We start from the raw sequence: 18995 nt of genomic DNA, 5'->3' as shown, positions 1-18995 counted from the left end.
AAAGAAGAGGAAGGACATCTTCTTAGAGAAAGGGAAGGAGTAAAACAGTAAATGGGTGTGAAATAAATTAAAAATTACATAGGGGCTTGAGCATTGTTAACAAGATTAGGAATGAAGCAGAAAACTGAAGATAACAAAAACTTAATAAAGATAGGAGTTTGTTTACATAAATAAAGCCCGCAAGGGACAGCCTAGAGCAGGTACAATCATCAGGGAGGCAGGCTCCTCTCTTGTTGCTTTGTCATCCTTAAAGAGGCTTCTACCTCATGGTCCAGGATGGATGCTTGAGCTCCTGCCATTATGTCTGCAATCCAGGCAGCGGGCCGAAGAAAGGAGATTGTAGCCAGGGCTGATATTTAGCTGATACATATCAGTAGAACTGTACCAGTAATTAAATTATAAAGAGCAGGGTTGGTGTAATCCAGCACTTTGGGAGGCCGAGGTGGGCAGATCACCTGAGGTCAGGAGTTCAACACCAGCCTGGCGAACATGGTGAAACACCATCTCTACTAAAAACACAAAAATTAGCCGGGCATAGTGGCGCAGGTCTGTAGTCCCAGCTACTCAGGAGGCTGAGGCAGGAGAATTGCTTGAACCCAGGAGGCAGAGGTTGCAGTGAGCCAAGATGGCACCACTGCACTCCAGTCTGAGCGACAGAGCAAGACTCCATCTCAAAATAAAAATAAATAAATAAATAAAAATAAAATAAAATAAAAATAAATAAATTATGAAGGACTTCGTACCAGTTGGTAACACCTGCTAGCCTCCTGCTGCCCACCCCCGCTGCCGGGTCATCCCCAGGAACCATCCACCCCTCCAAGACAGCAGCCTGGCTCAGTTGGGGCCTTCTAGGACATTCCCCCAGCACTATGGCCAGTGTCCTGGCAGTACTAGTTGTTAAATATTTGAATATTTGCACTGGATATATGCCTTCTTTTAAAAAGCAGTACCTAGAAGTCACAAATTGGGCACTTGTTTTTTTAAATCTCATTGGCCACAGTGAAGTCCCGTGGCTGCAAGGGAGGTTGGAATGTGTAGCTTTTATTTTAGGTGGCCATGTGCCCTGCTAGAAATAAGGGGTCTCATTAGTAACTATCAAATCAAGGAGAAGGGGGTGAATGATATTAGAGGGTGTAGCAGACTCTGCCACAGGGGAGGCTAAATAGGTGCTGAGAAGCACAGAGGGCTTGGTGAGCTTGGCTGCACTGTTGAGTGCTCCATCAGTCCAGGGGAGGTGGGGGTATAGGAGGAGAAGTCAGAGGTTGGGAATTGGTGGGTGATGGGAGAGGTGTCCCTGGGACAGCCTGAGCCTGCCTTGAGTGACACCTGAGGTCTCATTCCAGGCACAAGGACAAGTGCAGGCTAGAGGGTCTGAAGCCAGAGGTCTCGAGTAGGAAGATGCTGGAGGGAGAGAACCTGTCATTGTTTGAGACAGGGTGAGGGGTCAAGGGAGGCTTCCAGGGCATTAGGGGGCTCCAGGGTTGCTGTTTAGGGCACTGGAGTGGAGCCTTGGGGCCAAGCAGGTGGGCTGGGCCTCAATGGTAGATATGTCTTATCTCCTTGGCTGTCTTGGCCGGAACTTTCAGTTGTAGAAAAAGTAACAGATGGAGGCCATCTGGGGCCACAGGGAACATCATTATTATTATTTGAGATGGGGTCTTGCTCCGTTGCCCCGGCTGACAAGCAGAGGTGCACCACTGCAGCCTCAACCTCTTGGGCTCAAGCCGTCCTCCCGTCCCATAGCCTCTGGAGTAGCTGGGATCACAGACCTGTGTCGCCACACCTGGCTAATTTTTGCATTTTTTTGTAAAGACAGGGTTTCGTCATGTTGCCCAGGATAGTCTCCAACTCCTGGGCTCAAGTGATCCTCTCACCTTGGCCTCCCAAAGTGCTGGGATTACAGGCATGAGCCACCATGCCCGGCTGGAAAATTATTAAAAGGGTCTGACAGGTGGGGATTTCAAGAGATCTCAGACATGAAAATTGGGGCCTCATGCAGAACTGAGATCCAGAACTGGAAGGCCATTGAGAAACCTTAAGCGTGGCTCACATTTCTAAGGAAAAATATCTTTTCAGTTCCTTGAAGACTTGAGCTCCCAGAGGGTGGTAGTGGAAGGGATTTTCTTTTCTCTTTTAAAATTTCCTATATTAATTTTGTTTTTTAAAAATTGCAATGTGGACATTTCCATGAGTGAAATAATGCAAGATGAGTTAATCCAAAGTCAGAATTTCCCCCCTACTTCCAATTCTCTGTTCCCCTCCTGGCTGAAATCCTGCACTTGTGGGAGGGAGAGGGACAGGGTGGAGGGCCATGGCTGCCCGTGCATCCTCTCTTTGGGGTGCGGCAGGCTGCAGGATCTTTTTTTGTTTGTTTTTGGGGTTTTTTTTTTTTTTGAGAGAGTCTCGCTCTGTCATCCAGGCTACAGTGCAATGGTGCGATCTCAGCTCACTGCAACCTCTGCCTCCTGGGTTCAAGCGATTCTCATACCTTAGCCTCCCAGGTAGCTAGGATTACAGGCGCATGCCAATACACCCAGCTAATTTTTGTATTTTTAGTAGAGATGGGGTTTCACCATGTTGGCCAGGCTGGTCTCGATCTCCTGACCTCAAGTGGTCTGCCCGCCTCGACCTCCCAAATTGCTGGGATTACAGGTGTGAGCCACTGCGCCCGATGGGATCCAGGATCTAGAAGCTCTCCACCAGTTCTGCCATCCTCTCTGGGAAGTCAGCAGCAGGGCTTACTAGCAGATGGGGTTTGGCCTCTCACTCTGCCCATGTTTCTTGGGACCCACGTTCCTGGAAGACTTGCTGCAGCCTAGCCCTTGCTCCCTCCTCCTCCTGTTTCAAAGCTGCTTCAGTACCGTTGCTCTGTCCAGCCAGTTTCCACAGTCATCTCTTCATTGTTCAGCACTTGGGATCTTTCCAGCTTCCATGTTTCTAAAGGGCCCTTCTGTGAACACTTCGGACAAAATATTCCTTCACTTCTGGAGTATTTCCCTGAGGGTACATAGCTAGGAAAGGCATAAGAGAGCCAGAGGGTTTGAGGAGCTTCACAGCTCTTGTTGCCTACACGCAGATGGTTCAGAAGGTTTTTTTTTTTTTTTTTTAAGAGGATTTAAGCGTCTACTGACAAGGTAAAAAAATTAATAATAATCTACTTATTGCTTTTATATTCTTTGTTAAAATTCTGTCCTCATGGGGTTCAGGACGAGGCGGATGAAGCAGCATATTACTGTTGAGTTACAGGTGAGGAGATGAAAGGCAGCAAAAGTTTCTCTCAAAAACACTGACATATTCCTCTAGGTATGAAGGAGGAATATTTAAAAAAAAAAAAAAGGAGGGGTGTGGTGGCTCACACCTGTAATCCCAGCACTTTGGGAGGCCAAGGCAGGCAGATCACTTCAGGTCAGAGTTTGAGACCAGCCTGGTCAACATGGTGAAATCCTGTCTCTACCAAAAAATACAAGAAAACTAGCCAGGTGTGGTGGCGTGCACCTGTTATCCCAGCTACTCTGGAGGCTGAGGCAGGAGAATTGCTTGAACCTGGGAGGTAGAAGTGGCAGTGAGCTGAGATCGCACCATTGCACTCCAGCCTGGGTGATAGAGTGAGCCTCCATCTCCAAACAAAAAACAAAACAAAACAAAACAAAACAAAACAAAAAAAACAAGTCCTGGTTCAGGCTCTGTTGTTAACCAGCCCTGAGATGTCAGTAGCTCTATAAGATGAGAGGGGATGATCTGAGGTCTCTGAGCGTCCTTTTGGCTTGGGGTCCTGTAACCTCTGCATGGAGCACTGGGATGCTTTGCTCCTCCATCTGCAAGGAGCTGAAGGATGGGGGATTTGTCCTAGAGCCCCAGCTCCCTTGCTTTTTTTGTTTGTTTTTTTTTTGAGACGGAGTTTCGCTGTTGTTGCCCAGGCTGGAGTGCAGTGGCACGATCTCGGCTCACTGCAAGCTCCGCCTCCCGGGTTCACGCCATTCTCCTGCCTCAGCCTCCCGAGTAGCTGGGACTACAGGCGCCCGCCACATCGTGCGGCTAATTTTTTGTATTTTTAGTAGAGACGGGGTTTCACCCTGTTAGCCAGGATGGTCTCGATCTCCTGACCTCGTGATCTGCCTGCCTCGGCCTCCCAAAGTGCTGGGATTACAGGCGTGAGCCACCGCGCCCGGCTAGCTCCCTTGCTTTTAACCAGTTGTTGTGTGGTCTGCCCCACGCTTCTGCCTGGCCTTGGGAAGCCCAAAGGTGGAGCAGCCACGAAGTCTCCATCTGGCCACTGAGGCCGACCTGTGAGGCGTCCAGTTGAGACCACATCTTGTCCCAACTCACTCAGCTGCCTCACATGGCCCACTGTGGTGCATGGGGCACACTTCCCCATCTGGCTCCCCAGAGGAAGTCAGAGCTGTGGTGGGGGCTGGGGGCACTTAGGGAGATTGCAGGGGAGCAGAACTGAAGGTTCTGAGGCCTTAGTCCCTGGGGTTGTTCTCCAGAGCGGATTGCAGATTGGAGGAAGTTGGAGGAACTGTAGGTTTGCCCTTCCTGGGTCAGGAAACCTGGCTTCGGGCCAGGTTCTATCTCTACCTGTTGTGTGACCTTGGATAAACGTCTTGCCCTCTCCTAGGCTCAATGTCCCTACAGGTAAATGACCTCTAAGTGCCTGCCCTAAGGGGCTAAGATTCCCCTCCTTTCCCTGCCTTGCGGTTGGCAGGTTCTTATCCTTCTGGAGAGGGTCATCATCATTCTCTGTTCAGGTCCTGGCAGGGGCAGCCACAGGCAGAGGGTCTTTGGGTCTTAATTTCTGAAGGCTTCCATGTCACATAAAACGTTGATTACATAAATTTGTTATGCTTTTCTCTTAAGCTGTCTCGTTACAGGAGTGTTGGTTGTGACTCTTATGATCTCTTATGATGGGTGAGGAATGGTATTACATCTTTAACGGTACCACAATGTGAGGCTTAAAAGTTTTTTGTTTTTTTTTTTTTGGTGATGGGAATCTCTCTCGCTCTGTGGTCCAGGCTGCAGTGCAGTAGTGCGATCTTGACTCACGGCAACCTCCACCTCCCGGGTTTAAGCAATTTTCCTGCCTCTGCCTCCTGAAATAGCTGGAACCACAGGCGAGCGCCACCACGCCTGACTAATTTTTGTATTTTTAGTAGAGACAGGGTTTCACCATATTGGCCAGGCTGGTCTTGAACTCCTGACCTCATGATCCGCCCGCCTCGGCCTCCCAAAGTGTTAGGATTACAGGAGTGAGCCAGCATGCCCAGCCCAGACTTGCCTTTGACCAGGTGCCACCACCTGCCCCCACGTGCCCCTGGCCAGGACTGAGCCCTGTACCCTGTTACACGACTACTTATTCTATGTGAAACCCCAAGCTATTCTATGTGAAACCCGCTACTACAATGGGCTAATTTTTTTGTATTTTTTTTTTTGTAGAGATGGGGTTTCACCACGTTGCCCAGGCTAGTCTTGAACCCTCCGCCCGCCTCGGCCTCCCAAGTGTTGGGATTACAGGCGTCAGCCACCGCGGCCGGCCAACAATGTGGAGATTTAAAAGGTATTTTACATATATAATCTCTGACCTATTCAATTAGTAGGGCTTTTCTTTTATGACCTTTCCCTTCCCTTTCTCCAAGTTCTTCCTCACTCCTCCCCATAGCCCTTCCTTTCGCCCCTCCCATTGCCCCCTCCTATTGGCCTCCCCTTCGCGCAGGCGCCCTCAGAGGCGCTGAGTCAGGGCGCTGTTGAGCTCGGGCAGGCCCGGATGGGGCGGGGTTAGCGCCTGCGCTCTGGACGGCTTTGGGGCAGGGCAGATTTATATCTGCGGGGGATCAGCTGACGCTCCGCATTGCAGACTGCGGAGTCAGACGGCGCTATGTACGCCCTCTTCCTCCTGGCCAGCCTCCTGGGCGCGGGTAAGCCCTGGGACCCTCATCCTGGGGAGGAGGTGCCTCGCAGCGTCCATCTGCCCCAGAATGGGCTGTGCCGGGCCTGGCCCCTCTGCTCCCCCTGCCCTAGTTGGCAAGGGGGCGCGCGCACTGCGCAGGCGCGTTCGCTGGCTTTCTCTGGCTTTCTCTGGGCGGCTGGGGGCTGCGGGGGGCGGGCTGCGAAAATGCCCCCGGGAGGACGGCCCAGGCCCTGGGCAGCATCTCCTTCGGGGCTCGAGTGGGTTCCTGCGCGGCTGGGGCCCCGAGGCCTTCCCTCAGGCTGCGCTTCCCACTGTGGGGGTGGGTGAGTCTTGTAGGGTGACCCCTTGGGCAGCTGTGTTGTGCCTGTGCTGGGCGCACGTGATCGAGGTGGGCTGGAGCCCCGTCCCGCAGGACACTTTGGCCGTTGGCTTCAGTTGCCTGTTTGTAAGGGTAGCGAAGCTGCAGGAAGCACATGTGTATCATCTATATTGACGTTTGCATATGTATTTACTCTGGATTCTAGGTGTTGACAAAACGAGTCAAACTCTGTAAAAATATTTTGAGATTTATTCTGAGGCAAATATGAGTGACCATGGCCCGTGACACAGCCCTCAGGAGGTCCTGAGAACATGTGCCTAAGGTGGTTGGGATACAGCTGGGTTTTACATATTTTCGGGAGGCACGAGACATCAATCAAATACATTTAAGAAATACGTTGGTTTGGTTCAGAAGGGCGAAACAACTCAAAGCGGCGGGGGGCTTCCAGGCCATAGGTAAATTTAAACATTTTCTAGTTGATAATTGGTTGAGTTTATCTGAAAACCTAGAATCAATAGAAAGAAAGTATTCAAGTTAAGATAAAGGATTGTGGAGACCAAGTTTTATTGTGCAGAGGAAGCTCTCAGGTAGCCGACTAAGAGAGCGAGCACGTTGTAAAATATTTCTATGGAAATGAAAGGGTGACTGGCTCTTAGTTGATTATCTCCTGGATCTGGAGAGGAAGGAAGGAAAACATAGGGGAAAGGGGATTCTCTATAGAATGTGGATTTTTCCCACAAGAGACTTTGCAGGGCAATTTCAAGGTATGGCAAGGAAATATATTTTGGGGTTAGATATTTTGATTTTTTTTTCCTTGTCTTATAAAATGTTATGCCAGAGTCAGATTGGAAAGTAAGTCACGATATATGGGGTCAAATAAAACCCATCTGATGAGAGTTTATGGTTTGTAGGGTATGATTCCTACACCCCTTAGATAGGAATTTGGGCAAGCTAAAAAAAATCGGAGCTTAATTCTCATAGGTATTGAAGGCGATATAGGGTTTTCTGGTCCAGTTATTTTGCCATGGGGTCCTCATTTCACTTGCTTTGAAATGTCTTGCATCTGGGTGCGGTGGCTTATGCCTGTAATCCCAGCACATTGGGACACCGAGGTGGGAGGATCGCTTGAGCCTAGGAGTTGGAGACCAGCCTGGGCAACATAGCAAGACCCCACCTGTGAAAAAAAGAAAAAGAGAAAAGAAAGTCTTGCACGCTATTGGCCGTTTTTTTTTTGTTTGTTTGTTTTGTTTGTTTGTTTGTTTTTTGAGACGGAGTTTCGCTGTTGTTGCCCAGGCCGGAGTGGTGCAATGGCGTAGTCTCGGCTAACTGCAACCTCCGCCTTCCGGGTTCAAGCCATTCTCCCGCCTCAGCCTCCCAAAGTTCTGGGATTACAGGCGTGAGACACCGCACCCAGCCCCCACCACAATGTCTGTTTTTTAGTAACTATATGTAGTTTAAGGGCTGGCTGCCATTTTTAACCTAGCTACCCAAATTTTAATAAAAAGTAACAAAGTGGATGACAGGGTTGATGCAAAACCGAAGAAATGAGTTAGCTTTCAGCAGCTCTCAAGAATGTATCTTGACCCTATACGAAGCTCTTAAATTTGTTTTACTTGTACACAATGAAAGATGATCTGCTTATAAAAAAATCATTTTGATTTTATACTCAAGCTTATACTGCAGTTATTCCATGGTCTGTATAATAAACTAATGCTGGTCTCTAAATTTTTTATACTGATTCAGGGCAATTTTTTTTCTTTCTTTTTACATTATCCATTGTTCTTGTTGACGTTGAGTCACTCCTCACAAGACCCTTAAGAGTTCTGATTCATTCACATCACCCAAAAGGGACTCAATCGTGTCTCGGGAAATATAAAATCCACCTCTGGTATATATGGGCTTATGGTTAACCACAATATTTAGTTAACCAAGGGACCCTCTTCCGTGAACACTCGGGTAAATGGGAGGTATTGTAATGGCCTTGGTTTAACTTTGCTGTCCTACCTTTAGGATTAGGCCAAAGTCAGTGCTGATAACAGTGTTTGAATGCTCCCTGGCCTTCACAGCTCTGGCCCCTTTGTGATATTGTGAAAATGTTACTCCTAAAATTTCTAGACATGATAATGAGTTTTGTTAGTGAAAGTGCCTGGTGACTGCAGCCATTGTCTGCTGCCCGAGAGGCACTTAGAACTTTCTTCGTGACACTGTCGTAGTACAGAATGCCACCCTGAATCGGGATGGGCTTTGTATTTTGTGTTTCAGTGATGTCCTGGTGGTAGAGACACTTGCTTTTGAGTTACTTTTCTGCCCATCCAGCTGCCCCTCCTTTTTCCCCACCTAAAAGCGAAAGCAAAGCCATGGCACCATGAGAGAATTGGAGAGCATGTAATCTGACCCCTTTGTAAGGAATGAAGACCTGGAGGTGCCCAGAGGTGACTCTCCCAAATCATAGACCATTTACTGGGGATGCCAGGACCAGAACCCAAGACTCCACAGTGCTCGCTTTTTCCATATCCCTCTGTCCACATGGACCTCTTAACTTTTAAAAACTTAGTGTAAGTTACATACGTGGACGATTAAGTAGACAACTTGATGAATTACCACAAAGTGAGCAGCCCCCGAGGTTGGGGAGCAGTGCAGTAGCATCCAGAGGCCCCTGTTCACCCATTCACTGCCCTGTCCCACTTGCCCCGAAGGAAACATTGTTAACCTTTGAACACCATAGATGTGAAGGCTGCAGTTTCGATCTTTTACAAATGGGATCATGGAGGGTATTGCTGTTAGGTGAGTCCTCTGGTGGAAAAAGGAGCGTGTTCATCAGCTAGGTGTAAGGCATGAGGGATGGTGCCTGGGATGTGGCAGGTGCTCCCTGAAGCTTAGATGCCCTGATAGCTGTCAGCTGTGTGGTGGCTAGCCTGCTGAATGTTGTCTACACCACGCTAAGACAGTTATGTTTTCTGGGGATGCTAGAAGGTGTTATATATATTCTTTCAATAACATGTGAATTTATAGCCTGGCCTGCTGAATATCAGTAGGAACTTCAGGTCTTGGCCTGTCAGGGATTTTGGATAAATCTCCTGTTTATTAATAGTAAATCAGTTTTATTCTGTGAAAATAAGAGTATAATTCCTGAAGAAAGAAGGGTTTGTTTTAACAAATCAGTGATTTGTCAAGTCCTTGAAGTACATTTGACAGGTTGTTTTGTTTCTTTTTTTTTTTTTTGGAGCAGAAAGTTTAATAGGCAGAAGAAAGGAGAAAGGAGAGCAGCTCTCTCTTGTGAGAGAGAGGCATCCGAAAGGGAGAAGCCTGACAGGTTGTTATTGAGATGGGAGTCTTGCTCTGTCCCCAGGCTGGTGTGCAGTGGCGCGATCTCGGCTCACTGCCACTTCCGCCTTCCGGGTTCAAGCGATTTTCCCACCTCTGCCTCCCGAGTAGCTAGGATTATAGGTGCCCACCACCATGCCTATAAAATCCACCTCTGGTATATATGGGCTTATGGTTAACCACAATATTTAGTTGACCAAAGGACCCTCTTCCCTGAACACTCGGGTAAATGGGAGGTAATTTTTTGTATTTTAGTAGAGATGGGGTTTCACCATGTTGGCCAGGCTGGTCTTGAACTCCTGACCTCAAGTAATCCGCCTGCCTCGGCCTCCCAAAGTGCTGGGATTACAGGTGTGAGCCACCGCACCCGGCCCTGACAGGTTGTTTTGAGAACAAACTATGAGAGTTGAAGTGTGTTGGATTGATTGGTGTGGCATTTTGTAGATGAGGGAAAGGAGAACTTGGTCTTCCATTTTCTTGGTGAGTGAGACCATGGGATGTCCAGGCAGCTGTGGGGAAGTGGAAGGGTAGGGCGGGGTGTTGCTGGCTGGGAACAGCACCTAATGAGGCATGCTTAGGAAGTTCTCAAGGCCAAGACCAAAGCCACTTAGACAGGTGTGCATGGCAGCTTTGGAGGCAGCTTCTAGCAGAGATTCTAGGTTACTGGCTACCAGGCTGTAAGCCTTGCTTTCTGGCTCCTTTTTGGTTCTGCCACCAGGAAGGAGGGTCTGGATATTCTTCAGATCAATGAAAGAGAGTACTAATTAGAATTACATTGCCCTGCTTGCCTTTTTTTTTTTTTTTTTTTTTTTTTGAGACAGGGTCTTACTCTGTTGCCCAGGCTGGAGTGCAGTGGCACCATCTCAGCTCACTGCAACCTCCACCTCCCGGGTTTAAGTGATTCTCATACCTCAGCCTCCCAGGTAGCTGATAGCTGGGATTGCAGGCACCTGCCACCATGCCTGGCTAATTTTTGTATTTTTAGTAGAGAAAGGGTTTTGCCATGTTAGCCAGGCTGGTCTCAAACTCCTGACCTCAAGTGATCTGTCTGCCTCGGCCTCCCAAAGTGTTGGGATTACAGGCGTGAGTCGCCGCACCTGGCTTTTTTTTTTTTTTTTTTAAGGGCTTTAAAACAATGATGATAAATACAGTGATTGGGATGAAGATTTTGGCTGTTGCAAAAGTACTAATTGCTTTATTTTTTATTACATGAAGTTCCAAAAAAATAACTTTGTGGCATTTGTAATTTTGTATGTTGGGACAAGATGATAATGTGGAGTGGAAGTTTCACATTATCTCATTGCTGACAGTAGCCGTACGACCTTGGGCAAGTTGCTTAAACTCTCCCGTATTTCATCATTTGTAAAGTGGCATTACTCATCTATTTCACTGGGTTGCTGTTTAGCTTTAATAAATTAGGTTAATACAGAAAAGGGCTTAGTTAGTATTCTTTGTTGCTGTACCACTAATAAAAGTAATGTATTGTCAATATCTTTGTCCCCAACAGCACAGCGGCCTATTTTCTGCCCTTGATTTTGTGATTTCCTTTGGCGTCTTTAATTTCAAAGGACGTTGTGACTTTAACAAAATTAAATTGACTTATTAAAAACATACATGCTGGGTATAATTAGTGAGTCAGGAAAACAAGCCAGGGTAGGTAGACAGCAGTTAGGAGGGAGTTGGCAGGCAGTTCATAGTCTAGGTAGCCAAACTAGGTTTAGCTGCCAGGGGATCTTGACATCAGAGCAGCCCAGCAGATCAGAGCTGGTTCCTGGTAACCCGAATGCTTGGGTCTAGATCTGTTGTCACTAATCCTGGACCTGAGGTTGTCTGTTCCAGCCCCCTAGTTCGGTTTCCCCATTCGTAAATGGAGGCGAGCTGTTTAGAGTAGATAATAGATGGACGTGGGAAGCCAGGTCAGTCAGTAGAATGGAGTATAGAGTACAAGGTTTGTCCCTGCCACTGCTGTCCCCAGGCCCTCCCCAAACAGCCTGGTAGCAGCTCCCTTAGAAGCTTGCAGAGGTACATCCCATGTGTGAGTTCCTTCTGCCTTTTTTCTTTTTAACACAAATAGTAGTATATTCTACTGACTGTTTTGCTTGTTGCTCCTTAAATTGTGAAACATTTGAAAAGTGGAAAAGTGATTATCATAAACATGTGTACGCAACACCCAGGTTAAGAAATGGAACCTGATAACCCAGCTGCCCCCGTAGAGAGCCACCTTCCTGGACTTGTTTTTCCTCCCCGTTAGGTCTTTTTCCTTCCATACATGTGACTGGAAGCTTCAGCAGTGTGTATAGAGTATTGTTTTGGATATTTTAAACATTTTGCAAATATTGTATCCAATAAATAGTCTTTCTCTTTATCCTTGGGGGTTATGTTCCAAGACCCTCAGGGGTTGCCAGAAGCTGTGGGTGGGACCAAATCTTATTTATATATGTATGTTTTATCTTATGCATACATACCTGTGATAAAGTTTAGTTTATAAATTAGGCACAGTAAGGGATTAACAACAACTAGTAATACAGAACAATTAAAACAATATATAATAAAAATTATGTGAATGTGGTCTTTCTCAGGATACATTTTCAGACCACATTTGACTGTGGGAATACATTTTCAAACCACATTTGACCGTGGGTAACTGCAACGGTAGAAAAGGAAGCTATGGTTAAGGAGGGACCACTGTATATTGTTAGGTTAGTTTTTTGTTTTGCTAGGGAGGTTTTTCTATGTTGAAAATGTATAGATTACTGTTATGTCTTTTAGAATTTGTCTAGAAGGCTTTCTGGTTTTTACTGGAAAGCCCCCTACAAAAATATGTAGGTCTATTTCATTTTCACTACAATATAGTATTCCATTTATGTAATTTCTTTTTTTGACACAGAGTCTTGCTCTGTTGCCCAGGCTGGAGTGCAGTGGTGTGATCTTGGCTCACTGCAACCTCCACCTCCTGAGTTCAAGTGATTCTCCTGTCTCAGCCTCCCGAGTAGCTGGGATTATGGGTGCACGCCACCATGCCTGGCTAACGTTTGTATTTTTAGTACACACAGGGTTTCACCATGTTGGCCAGGCTGGTCTCAAACTCCTGACCTCAGGTGTTCTGCCCACCTCAGCCCCCCAAAGTGCTGGGATTAGAGGCATAAGCCACTGAGCCTGGCCTGTATCATTTCTGTTCTAGTGATAGACATTTAGATAATTTCTAGTTTTTTCTATTACAGCCTGCTTCTGTAAAAATTCTCGTACATGTCTCCTTGTGTACATGGAAAACATTTATCTAGGGCATATGTCTAAGAGCAGAATTGCTGAGTTGTGGAGTAACTAACAATTGTAGAAGTGCTCTCAAATGATCTTGGCAGTTGCCATTCCATAACGTATTCAGTTTCCAGTTACTGCATGCCCTTGTTAACATTTGATATTGTTAAAACTTTCAATTTTGCTAATTTGATAGGAGTAAAATGACTTAGTGGTTTCATTTGCATTTCTTCTTGTTTTCTTAAACAATATATCCTAGAGGTAATTTCATGCTAACACAGATAGATGTACTTAAATTTTAAAATTTGAGATAATGTTAGATTTACAGAAAAGTTACAAAGGTAGTATACTGAGTTCCTGTATACCCTTCCCCCAGCTTCCCCTACTGTTAACGTGTTGTATAACCATGGTACATTTGCCAAAAGCAAGTAATTAATATCAGGACACTGTCAGTATCTAGATTGCAAACTTTATTTGGATTTTTACCAGTTTTTCCACTAATCTCATTTTTTGGTTCCTGGGTCCAACCCAGTATGCCACATTGCCCTTGGCTGTCAGGTCTCCTTAATCTCTTCCCACTTCCCAGCTGAGTATTTCATTGTATGGATGTGTCTTTTTAATCCCTATTGATGGACATCGACGTCTAATAAACTGCTAGGTGAATTCTAATGAGACTTGCAAATGTAAAAATTGTAAATTCTGGCCACATTTGGACAGATACTGCCTTTAAAAAATTATTTACATGAGTGGAAACGTCATGACTAAGATTGAAGAAGACGCAGAGAAAGTTCTTTTGGCCAGTATTTGTCACGTTACTTATGACTCTCTCAGTAGCTGTGATGGGATGCTGTTCTGTACGAGTAAGTCTCTTTTTCAGGCATTGATACCAGAGGGCCATGTGGCTTCCTATAGCACTAGGAATAAAACTCAAGTGTGTCCGCAAGGTCGCCTGTCACCTGGTGATTGGCCACCTCTCAGCTCCTCCCCCTCTCTTCTGTCTGGCCTGCTGTCCAGCCTTCTGGCCCCTTCCTTCTTGGTGCTCAGAGATTTTCCATTTTGAATTCCACCTCTCTGGAACATCTTCCTCCCTGGGTAACCCATGGGGCTTCCTCTCTGTGCATTCGGGTCCCTGCTTGATGTTGCCTTATCAGAGTTCCCCACTGATGTGCCTGAAATAGCTGCCCCACCCCACCTTGCTTTATTTGTAGCACTCACCGCTACCTGGCGTTGTGATGTGTGTGTTGTCTTGATCGCTTGCTGTGTCTGCAGCATGTGCGGCAGTTTTGGCACATAACAGGTGCTTAGCATTGATGAGTGCCAGGAGGTGTAGCCAGGTAGACTTCAGCTGTGGAAGTGTAGGCTAGTGTGCCTGAAACTTCATTGCTTCATAGTGCCGAGTCTTTGTCATGATTAGATAGAATATTATCTTTTATTTTTCTGAAATTAATTTTAAGAAATTGTTTTTAGGAGTTATGAAATTAAGAGTGACTTTGGGCGCAAATGAAGTGTTGACTTTTATAATAGTTGATGATAGTTTGGGACCTGCCCCTCCCACACCTTTTGGGGAGGGTTCTATGTAGGTGATAGGTACAGGGAAGTCTAATATAATTTAGATGTTCATGGTGGCTCTGATTTGAGGTAAATCTGAAAAGGGAAGCAGCTATAAGTTGAGGAAATTATCCCTCCCACTTTTGGTTTCAGAAGTTGGTTGTTCTCCAGATGTTTAGCTTGGAGGCTCTCAAACTTTTGGTTGCAGGATCCCTATATACTAATTAGTTATTGAGGACCCCAAAGAGCTTGTGTTTACGTGGGCTGTATCTATCAATATTTAACATCTTATAAGTTAAACTGTCAGTGTTTAAAAATTAATGCTTTGAAATATTGATAAACCATTACATGTTAACATATATATATTTATTGTATGTATTATATTTTTAATGAAAAAATATTTTCCAAAACACAAATATTTAGTGAGCAGCCTGTTTTACATTTTTGCAATCCTTTTAACACCTGGCTGGATTATTAGCTGCTTGGGCATTCAGTCTGTTGCAATGTCATGTCACATGCCTCCGCAGAAACTCAACTGGACTTTTGTGAATGAGCAAAATGGCAACTGATGTCTTGGTTTTATCATGAGGATTTTGCCCTCACCCCCTGAAAGAGTCCCTGGGATGCTCGGCGTTTTGGACCACACTTTGAGAACCACTGGTTTAGATGATTTGCAGAAACTACAGAAATTATAATAGCTAACCCATGCGGAGATGTTCTGCTTTTTTTTTTTTTTTAAGACGGAGTCTCACTCTGTCACCCAGGTTGGAGTGCAGTGGCTTGATCTCGGCTCACTGCAACCTCTGCCTTGCAGGTTCAAGTGATTCTCCTGCCTCAGCCTCTTGAGTAGCTGGGACCACAGGTGTGTGCCACCATGCCTGGCTAATATATATATATGTAGTAGAGACCAGGTTTCACTGTGTTGGCCAGGCTGGTCTCGAACTCCTGACCTCAAGTAATCCACTCGCCTCGGCCTCCCAAAGTGCTGGAATTACAGGCGTGAGCCACTGCACCTGGCCATTTTTTGTATTTTTAGTAGAAATGGGGTTTCACTATGTTGCCCAGGCTGGTCTTGAACTCCAGGGCTTAGGTGATCTGCCTGCCTCTGCCTCCCACGGTGCTTGGATTACAGATGGGAGCCACTGTGCCTGGCCCGTTTTGCTTTTTATTGAACATTAATTCATTTAATTCTCATAACAGCCCTCTGTGGTGAAAGCAACTGAATCGGAATTCTGGGCCAGTCTGATATCCTCCCGTGACCCATGCTGTGGTCTGAACATTTTAGATTTCAAGTGAAGGCAGTATTCCTATAAAGTACTAACTGAAGGAAGCCAAAAGTGACATTTATAGTAGACTCACATATATCTGGAACTTTTAAGTTAGTAAACAGTAGATGAGACAGGTTCAGAATACTGAATTTCTTTAATGAGGTTTGCATGAAACCTTTTTCAGCATATGATTATCTTCTGCAAATGTGCAGAGACCACGCAGCTGGTCAGCAATGCTCAGTGTGGGAGCCAGCACCAGTTTGTGTGGGTGCCTGTGCCAACTGCGGTGCAGCATGCTGGATCTGCAGTGGAGCTTTCTCGAGGATGGGGAGCCATGCAGAGCCCGCCTCTGACCCCTGCCTCCACTTGCTCACTTGGCTGGAATCTGGATAGTCCTGCCAAGGGCTAGTTTTTCAGTCATGGATTACCATGTAATCTTATCTAAGGTGATCTAAGTTCTTCTTTGATCATCACCTGATATGTTGATGCTTTGGAAGAAAAGCTTTGTTAGGAGTTTTTATTGGACTACAGTACCCTTGAATGAACTAGTTAGGAATTGTCCCCAAATTAATTAAGCCTCCATTGCATACAATCTGAGAAGATTGCATTCTTGTCCCCAGCCTCAGTCATTACTGCACAAGGTAATTTCCCTGAGGACTCTGTTGCCTTCTCCGTGTAGATAATGTCCTGCCCTGGAATCATCTGGCTTGTAAGGAAAATTAAGAAGCGAGGCTGTAGCAGCAGAGGAGAAGCAGGGAAGAAAGGACCTTTGTCTTAACACTTTGAGGCCAGAGGTGATGGGATGTCAGCCTAGTGAGCTTAAGAGCTTTATTGCCACTGATTTCTTATGTGATATGAGGACTCTTGGACCTTAACTCCTCCAAATCAAGGGAGACTACCTCTGAGCGTATACTATTCTGAATGATTCAGTGAGCTGTGTTTTTATTCTGCTCTGCAGACTGTTTTCCAAAGGCAGGATTATCTATGAGGAAGAGACAAGTGCTCTTTGCCATAGAAGATATTTGTGGCAATAGCTGTTTGAGTAGCTAGTGTTGAGTGCATTGCATTATCTCCTGCTCTTAGGGGATGGAAGTGCATGAATTCCTCTGAGAAATGCCCTGCGGTAGAAGCCGCTCCTCCAGGGGTTATCCTCTCTTGGTTTCCTAGCAACCTGCCTGTTGCCATGGTGCCGCCTTACCCAGGCAGCAGATCTGCTGCCCTGTGGAATGTAGGCTCTGATTGTCAGCACTGGGAGGCTGCATGCATTTTCTGTTACCTCTTTTTTTTTTTTCTGGTAGCTAGATTCAAATTGTACTTAGCATGTTACTAAAATATTTAAAAGGAAAAGCATATGTTGTATGGCTAAAATAATGAGACTGATTGTTTTATCACATTCTAGGAAATGTTGTCCTGTCATTTTAAGATTGCTTCAGAAAATCTTTGGTGATTATGTTGTGTACTGGGCTTTTCGGTATCCTCACTGGGGTAAGCCAGGAAACACTTGTTGGGAGACCTTTCTGTAAGCGAGGTCGTTGATTAAGTATGTATATTAGTTGGGCTTAGGTTTGACTGTAAACAACAAATACATAGAATAATAATGGCTTATTTGTTTTTCTTATTTTTGATGGAGTCTCGCTCTGTCGCCCAGGCAGGAGTGCAGTGGCGTGATCTCGGCTTACTACAACCTCTGCCTCCTGAGTTCAAGCGATTCTCCTGCCTCAGCCTCCTGAGTAGCTGGGATTACAGGCACCTGCCACCACACCCAGCTAATTTTTGTATTTTTTGTAGAAATGGGGTTTTGTCGTGTTGCCAGGCTGGTCTTGATTTGTGAGCTCAAAATGATTCTCCTGCCTCAGCTTCCCAAAGTACTGGGGTTACAGGCATGAGCCACCGCACATGGCCCTGAAATCTATGTCTTTAAAAAAGTCCCATTGTGGGGCCAAGCATGGTGGCTCACGCTTGTAATCCTAGCACTTTGGGAGGCCGAGGCGGGTGGATCACGAGGTCAGGAGTTCGAAACCAGCCTGGCCAACACGGCAAAACCCTGTCTCTACTAAAAATACAAAAATTAGCTGGGCATGGTGGCAGGCGCCTATAATCTCAGCTAGTTGGGAGGCTGAGGCAGGAGAATCGCTTGAACCCGGGAAGTGGAGGCTGCAGTAAGCCGAGATCGTGCCACTGCACTCCAGCCTGGGCGACAAGAGCAAGACTCTGTCTCAAAAGAAAAAAAAAAGAGCCCGTTGTTCCAAGCTGTCTTGCCAGGCCCTTGAACTAAGAAGTGAAGTGCTCAATTTGCCCCGAGTGCTGTTCATGTCTTTATGACACATTTAATTGGAAATCTTTAGGAGGTCAAACATTCTAAGAACTTTTTTGGAGTTCAGCATACTGCCTCAGAGAAGGAAGCTGGTATTTGGGGGTAGGGTGTGGGAGGATGAGAATAGAGATTAAAGGCTTTGCTGGCCACATGTTTTGAGAAATAACTCACGAGAAAGTGTTTTTGGGTAGTGTTTATTTATTAGTTATAAATGCTGAAAATGTTATCTGCCTTGTTAGAGTGAAGACTTGGAGCTCCTCGGAGCTCTTTTAGTTCAGCCCACCACTGAAAGGATCCCTCTTATATAGAATTGCTCATAAGTTATGCATTTTGTTTCTGCTTGTTTGCTTCCACTGTTGGTGAGGTCATCACCTAATGATGCCACTCATTCTCTCTTTTTTTTCTGAGACAGGCTCTGGCTTTATTGCCCAGGCTGGAGTGCAGTGGTGCTGGGGCACTGGAGTGCAACCTCCGCCTCCTGGGCTCAATCGATCCTCCCACCTCAGCCTCCTTGGTAGCTGGGACTACTGAGGCGTGCACCACCACGTCCAGCTAATCCGTTCTCTTTTTATGCCCCTGGGTGGATGTTAAATGCATTCTTTACCTGGAGCTGTGGTCTGCTTCCTTGCACCCATTGTTCAGAGATCTGTGGTCTGGAGCCACTCATACCAGCTCCACACCCTGGTGGAAGGTGTACGGGATTCTCCCCCTCCTTGGAGATGACCGCGTGTCTCTGAAACATTCCTTCTCCCGTCACTCATCCCCAGTCCTCCAGGGGACTCTCTGGGTGGGGCCCCAGGCCCTCCCCTCCCTGGCCTCTGCTGAGCAGCTCACGTTGCTCATGGGCGTGTCTCTCCTGGTGCTATTGGCCCTTGCTGTTCTGTTTTCCCTTTGAGTCTGCACAACTTCTCATGGAACCCTGTTAGTGCCATTTGCCCATCTTGTTCTCTTGGACTCTGTGTTAGCCTCTCTTGGCTCTTGCTGCTTCCATTTCTCATGTGGACGTTTTTGAATTCGCCTTCCAGTTAGGTGCCTGACATTGGTATCTCCCACCTCCTCTTC

The 18995-nt window shown here is 46.3% G+C and overlaps 1 protein-coding gene and 1 pseudogene across 3 annotated transcripts in view, besides 4 other annotated features; both read left to right on the top strand.

Moving 5' to 3' along the window:
- Window positions 5632–6162: an enhancer, noted in NCBI's record as "H3K27ac-H3K4me1 hESC enhancer chr10:73610689-73611219 (GRCh37/hg19 assembly coordinates)". NCBI's record gives its function as "activates a minimal SCP1, AML or CMV promoter by ChIP-STARR-seq in primed H9 embryonic stem cells {active_cell/tissue: H9 hESC(primed)}" and the evidence as "EXISTENCE:reporter gene assay evidence [ECO:0000049][PMID:30033119]".
- PSAP (prosaposin) overlaps window positions 5843–18995 on the top strand; it is a 34954-nt gene continuing 21801 nt past the window's right edge. For all 3 annotated transcript variants that reach the window (NM_002778.4, NM_001042466.3, NM_001042465.3), the window contains exon 1: window positions 5843–5912. In NM_002778.4, the coding sequence (NP_002769.1) occupies window positions 5873–5912 (40 nt within the window). In that variant the 5' untranslated portion in view covers window positions 5843–5872. The remainder of the gene's footprint in view (window positions 5913–18995) is intronic.
- Window positions 6163–6693: an enhancer, noted in NCBI's record as "H3K27ac hESC enhancer chr10:73610158-73610688 (GRCh37/hg19 assembly coordinates)". NCBI's record gives its function as "activates a minimal SCP1, AML or CMV promoter by ChIP-STARR-seq in primed H9 embryonic stem cells {active_cell/tissue: H9 hESC(primed)}" and the evidence as "EXISTENCE:reporter gene assay evidence [ECO:0000049][PMID:30033119]".
- Window positions 7085–7584: an enhancer, noted in NCBI's record as "H3K4me1 hESC enhancer chr10:73609267-73609766 (GRCh37/hg19 assembly coordinates)". NCBI's record gives its function as "activates a minimal SCP1, AML or CMV promoter by ChIP-STARR-seq in naive H9 embryonic stem cells {active_cell/tissue: H9 hESC(naive)}" and the evidence as "EXISTENCE:reporter gene assay evidence [ECO:0000049][PMID:30033119]".
- RNU7-38P (RNA, U7 small nuclear 38 pseudogene) lies at window positions 12302–12357 on the top strand (annotated as a pseudogene).
- Window positions 18140–18908: an enhancer, noted in NCBI's record as "H3K27ac-H3K4me1 hESC enhancer chr10:73597943-73598711 (GRCh37/hg19 assembly coordinates)". NCBI's record gives its function as "activates a minimal SCP1, AML or CMV promoter by ChIP-STARR-seq in primed H9 embryonic stem cells {active_cell/tissue: H9 hESC(primed)}" and the evidence as "EXISTENCE:reporter gene assay evidence [ECO:0000049][PMID:30033119]".

The sequence above is a fragment of the Homo sapiens genome, chromosome 10, assembly GCF_000001405.40.
Source record: "Homo sapiens chromosome 10, GRCh38.p14 Primary Assembly".
Taxonomy (NCBI): domain Eukaryota; kingdom Metazoa; phylum Chordata; class Mammalia; order Primates; family Hominidae; genus Homo; species Homo sapiens.
The sequence above is the reverse complement of the archived record's forward strand: the minus strand, read 5'-3'. Positions and strand labels throughout refer to the sequence as shown.